Below are 5,683 nucleotides of genomic sequence, written 5' to 3'. Positions count from 1 at the left end.
GGGTATAATTGGCCCAAACCTAGAAGTGAAGTTGCATGTGAATTGTGTACACAGTGCTGGCCCCAAGGTCCCTGCATGGTGGCTGTCACTGTCACTGTTTACATCAGTCGTGAGATTGCTGCCACCTGGCACCAGGTGTGTGTGTCAAGGGGACCCTGGGGCTCATTATTCCACTGAGAGGCCACTGCGAAACCTTGTGCTGGCAAGCATTGGGGTACCCGGGGGTATCTGTAACACCTGATGGCATCTGATGCGGGACTGGTGGGCCCTCAGGGACAGGAAGGGGCTGGCCAACTCTCCTCTTCTTCCTGCAGCAGCCTGCCTGGCTTGTGGCGTGAGTGCTCAAGACCTACCGGCTGGAGAGATGCATATCTGAGGTGGAGGAGGCGCAGCAAGCCAGCACATGTAGATCGAGCCTTCCCATGCCCCACTTGTGCTGTGCGCGATCCTAGCTCCCCATCTCTTATCCAGCTCCAGCCCACTTGGGGCAGCTCTGTGGTGGGAAGCTGCTGGCTCACAGCCATGCCAGTTCTCCACTTTCTGCTCACCTTGCATGGCTGGGGAGCGTCAGGGAGCTCTCTGGTCCCATTTAATGAGGAAGGGGTGTATGAGCCCCACCTGAGTTAAAAATGATCAGGATGGGGTGGGCACGGTGGCTTGCACCTGTAATCACAGCACTTTGGGAGGCTGAGGCAGGAGGATCACTTGAGGTCAGGAGTTTGAGACCAGCCTGGCCAACATGGTGAAACCTTGTCTCTACTAAAAATACAAAAATTAGCTGGGTGTGGTGGCACATACCTGTAATTCCAGGTACTCAGGGGGCTGAGGCAGGAGAATCACTTGAACCTGGGGGGCAGAGGTTGCAGTGAACCAAGATCACGCCACTGCACTCCAGCCTGGGCAACAGAGCAAGACACCATCTCAAAAAAAAAAAAAAAAAAAAAGGGCAGGCCAGCCCCAGCAGATGGAAGAGCTCAACTATGGCTCTCAGCCCAGTGTGTGAAGGAGAGGTGCCCATGGCTTCTGCACGGGGTGGCACACTCACAGTGACTGCTATAGACTGAATTGTGCCCTCCCCCTAGTTCATACAACAAAGTCCTAACCCCTAGTGTAATGGTAGTCAGAGATGGGGCCTTTGGGAGGTGATTAGGTTTACACAAGGTCATGAAGGTGGGGCCTTGATGATGGAAGAGCTTGCTCTTTCTCTCTCTCTGCCACGTGAGGACACAGAGAGAAGGCAGCCACCTGCAAGCCAGGAAGAAGGTCACACCAGACACCAACCATGCTGGCATCTGGACCTTAGACTTCCAGGCTCCAGAATCGTGAGAAAATAAATGCCTATTATTTAAGCCCCAGTCTGTGGCATTCTGTTACAGCAGCCTGAGCTGACTGAGACACAGACCCTCCAAGAAAAAAAGGGAAGGACTTCTGCTTGGGTGCCAAAAGTGTGCAGAGCTGCTCTGCCCGGGACCTGTGTCATCCTTCTTCCATCTCTTCTACACATGCTGGTTCCCTCCACCAGACTCTGGCCTGTCCTGTCTGCAGGGTGAGTGCTGGGTGCTGCCAGGTGTCAGATTGGTTTGTGAGGGGCTGTATTAGTCTGTTCTCACAGTGCTATAAAGAACTATCCAAGACTGGGTAATTTATGAAGAAAAGAGGTTTAATTGACTCACAGTTCCTTGGGCTGTACAGGAAACATGGCTGGGAGGCCTCAGGAAACTTACAATCCTTGCGGAAGATGAAGGGGAAACAAGTATGTCTTTACCATGGCAACAGGAGAGAGAGAGAGAGAAAAAGAGAGAGCGAAGGGGAAAAGTGCTACACACTTTCAAGCAGGCAGATCTCATGAGAACTCACTCACTATCGCAAGAACAGCAAGGGGGAAATCTGCCCCCATGATCCAATCACCTCTCACCAGGCCCCTCCTCCAACACGTGGGGATTACAAATCGACATGAGATTTGGGGGTGGGGACACAAATCCAAACCATATCAGGGGCTCTTGGTGACCCTGCCCTTTGAGCAAGGAGTCCCCCGTCAGTGCCAGGCAGGGCAGAAAGCGTGGTGAGGGGTGAACTGTTCCAACGCCATTGCTGAAAGGATTAGCCTGTATCCATTAACTTGCTTTTGCACCTTTGCCAAAACTCTTGGCCATATTTGTGTGGGTCTATGTCTAGGTGCTCTATTATGTTCCGTTGATCCATGTATCCATCCCTTCACAATACCACACTGTCTTGATTAATGCAGTTTTTATTTTTATTTTTTTGAGACAGAGTCTCGCTCTGTCGCCCAGGCTGGAGTGCAGTGGTATGACCTCAGCTCACTGCAACCTCCGCCTCCCGGGTTCAAGTGATTCTCCTGCCTCAGCCTCCCGAGTAGCTGGGATTACAGGTGCCCACCACCATGTCTGGCTAATTTTTTGTCTTTTTAGTAGAGAGAGTCTGATCAAACTAGTGATTTTAGCAAGGTTGAAAGAGAAAAGATCAACACAAAAATCAATCTCATATGCATGTTAGCCAGGCTGGTCTCAAACTCCTGACCTCAGGTGATCCACCTGCCTCCCCAAAGTGCTGAGATTACAGTCGTGAGCCACTGTGCCTGGCTGATTAATGTAGTTTTTAGTAAGTTAAAAAATCAGGTAGTGTGATTTTCCCAACTTTATTTTCCTTTTCAAAATTGCTTTGGGTATTCTAGTTTCTTTACCTTTCTATTAAAATTTTGGAATCAGCTTGCTTATATATATAAAGATCCTCGGCCCGGCACGGTGGCTCACGCCTGTAATCTCAGCACTTTGGGAGGCCAAGGCAGGTGGATCAAGAGGTCAGGAGATTGAGACCATCCTGGCTAATGTGGTGAAACCTCGTCTCTACTAAAAATACCAAAACTTAGCCAGGCATGGTGGCACACGCCTGTAGTCCCAGCTACTTGGGAGGCTGAGGCAGGAGAATCGCTTGAATCCGGGAGGCAGAGGTTGCAGTGAGCCGAGATCGCACCCCTGCACTCCAGCCTGGGCGACAGAGCGAGACTCTGCCTCACAAAAAAGAAAAAGAAGATAAAGATCCTTGTGGGATTTTTGATTAGAATTGTGTTAAATCTACATGTCTATCTGAGAATTGTCTTCTTACTTTTGTGAGTCTTCCCATTCATGACCATGGTATACCTCTTGATTTATAGGGAGGTGCCAGCTCTCTTGGTAACTAATAGAGTGAGAACTTACTTATCCCCACTCTTGTGTACCCCCCATTCCCGCAGGGATGTCATTAATCTATTCGTGAGGGATCTGTCCCCATGACCCAGTCACCTCCCATTAGGCCTCACCTCCAACATTGAGGATCAAATTTCAACATGAGGTTGGCTTCTTGGATTTGTTCCATCAGCTTTTGTGGTTTCCAGCATGCAGATTCTCTACATGTTTTGTTTTATTTATGCTTAGTATTTTTTTTTTGGAGATTTAGTAAAATGTATTGGTTTTTCAAATTTTGGTTTATAATTGTTCAATACTGGTATACACATGCATATGTGATTGATTTTTGTGGTGTTGATCTTTTCTCTTTCAACCTTGCTAAAATCACTAGTTTTATCAGACTTTATTTTTAGATTACTTGGGATTTTCTATGTAGATAATTATGTCATCTCTAAATGGGCAGTTTCGTTTCTTCCTTTCCAATATGTATGCCTTCGAATTATTTTTCTTTCCTTATTGCACTGGCTAGGACTTCCTGGATGATGTTGGATTGGAGTGGTGAGAGTGGACACCTTTGTCTTGCTATTTATTTGGGAGGAAGCATTCGGTATTTAACGATTAAGTAGGATGTTAGGAATAGTTTTTTTGTATTTGCCCTTCATTGAGTTAAGGAGTTTCCTTCTATTTCTAGTTTGCTAAGAGTTTTTTTCTAAGACATCATAAATGGATTTGAATTTTGTCAAATGCTTTTTCTGCACTAATAGTTATTGTATGAACTTGCTAGGGCTGCCATAACAAAGTACTACAGATTAGATGACTTAAACAACAGAAACTTATTTTCTCACAATCCTGAAGCCTAGAAGTCTGAGATCAAGCTCAACAGGGCTGTTTCCTCTGAAGCCTGGCTCCTCAGTTTGCAGATGGCCATGCTCTCCCTGTATCTCCACGTGGTCTTTCCTCTTCGTGTATCTGTGTTTGCTATGGTCTGTGTTTGCGTCCTCCAAAATTTCTATGTTAAAATCCTAACCTCCAAAGTGATGGTGTTAGGAGGTTGGGCCTTTGGAGACCTCATGAATGAGATTAGCGTCCTTATAAGAAGAGGCCAAGGCTGGGTGTGGTGGCTCATGTCTGTAATCCCAGCACTTTTGGAGACCAAGGTGGGAGGATGTCTTGAGCTCAGGAGTTCAAGACCAGCCTGGGCAACATAGCAAGATCCCGTCTCTAAAAAAAAAAATTAGCTGGGGGCGTGGTGCATGCCTGTGGGCCCAGCTACTTGGAAGGCTGAGGTGGGAGGATGGCTTGAGCCTGACAGGTCGAGGCTGCAGTGAGCTATGATCATACCCCTGCCTTCCAGTCTGGGTGACAGAGTGGAACCTTGTCTCTGAGAAAAAAAAAAAAAAAAAAAAAAAAGAGGCCAAAGCTAACTTGCCCTCTTTCCACCATGTGAGGTTACAGGGAGAGGTCAGCTGTCTGCAGCCTGGAATAGGGCCCTCACCAGAACCCAACCATGAGTTCTGGCACCCTGATCTCTGACTTCCAGTCTTCAGAACTGAGCTATGAATGTTTGTCATTTAAGTTACCCAGTCTGCGGTTATTTGTTATACTGGCCTGAACTAAGACAGTCCAAATTTCTTCTTCCTTTTGATATGGCTTGGCTGTGTCCCCACCCAAATCTCGTCTTGAATTGTAGTCCTCATAATCCCCACTTGTGGTGAGAGGGATCCGGTGGGAGGTAATCAAATCATAGGGGTGGTTTGCTCCATTCTATTCTCATGACAGTAAGTTTTCTCATGAGATATGGTGGTTTTATAAGGGGTTTCCCCCTTCACTTGTCTATCATTCTTCTCTCTTGCCGCCATGTGAAGAAGGACGTGTTTGCCTCCCCTTCTGCCATGGTTGTGAATTTCCTGAGGCCTCCCCAGCCATGAAGAACTGTGAGTCAATTAAACCTCTTTCCTTTATAAATGAGCCAGTCTTGGGTATGTCTTTATTAGCAGCATGAGAATGGATAAATATACTTTCCAGCAGGACAACAGTCATATTAGAATAGGGCCCACCATAATGATGTCATTTAACTTAGTTACCTCTTTAAAGACCCTGTTTCTGAATACATTCACATCCTGAGGTGCTGGGGGTTGAGACTTAAACATGTGATTTTTTTGGGGTAAATAATTCAGCCCCATAATAGATATGATCATGTAATTTTTCTTGTTTAAACCATTAATGTGGTGGATTGCACTGATTTATTTCCAAATATTGAAGCAGGCTTTCATTCCCAGGATAAACTGTACTTTTACTTATGACATATAATTCTTTTTATATTGCTAGATTTGATGTGATAATGTTTTCTTGAGAACTTTTGCATCTCTCTTTATGAGGGATTTCGGTTTGTAGTTTTCTTGTATTGTCTGGTTTTGATTGCAGAGTAATGCTGGCAGCATAAAAGGAGTTGGGAAATGTTCTCTCTGCTTTTATCTCTTGGAAGTGATTGTGTAGAATTG

This window comes from Homo sapiens, chromosome 10, assembly GCF_000001405.40.
Source record: "Homo sapiens chromosome 10, GRCh38.p14 Primary Assembly".
Lineage (NCBI taxonomy): Eukaryota > Metazoa > Chordata > Mammalia > Primates > Hominidae > Homo > Homo sapiens.
Note: the sequence above shows the minus strand (reverse complement) of the source record.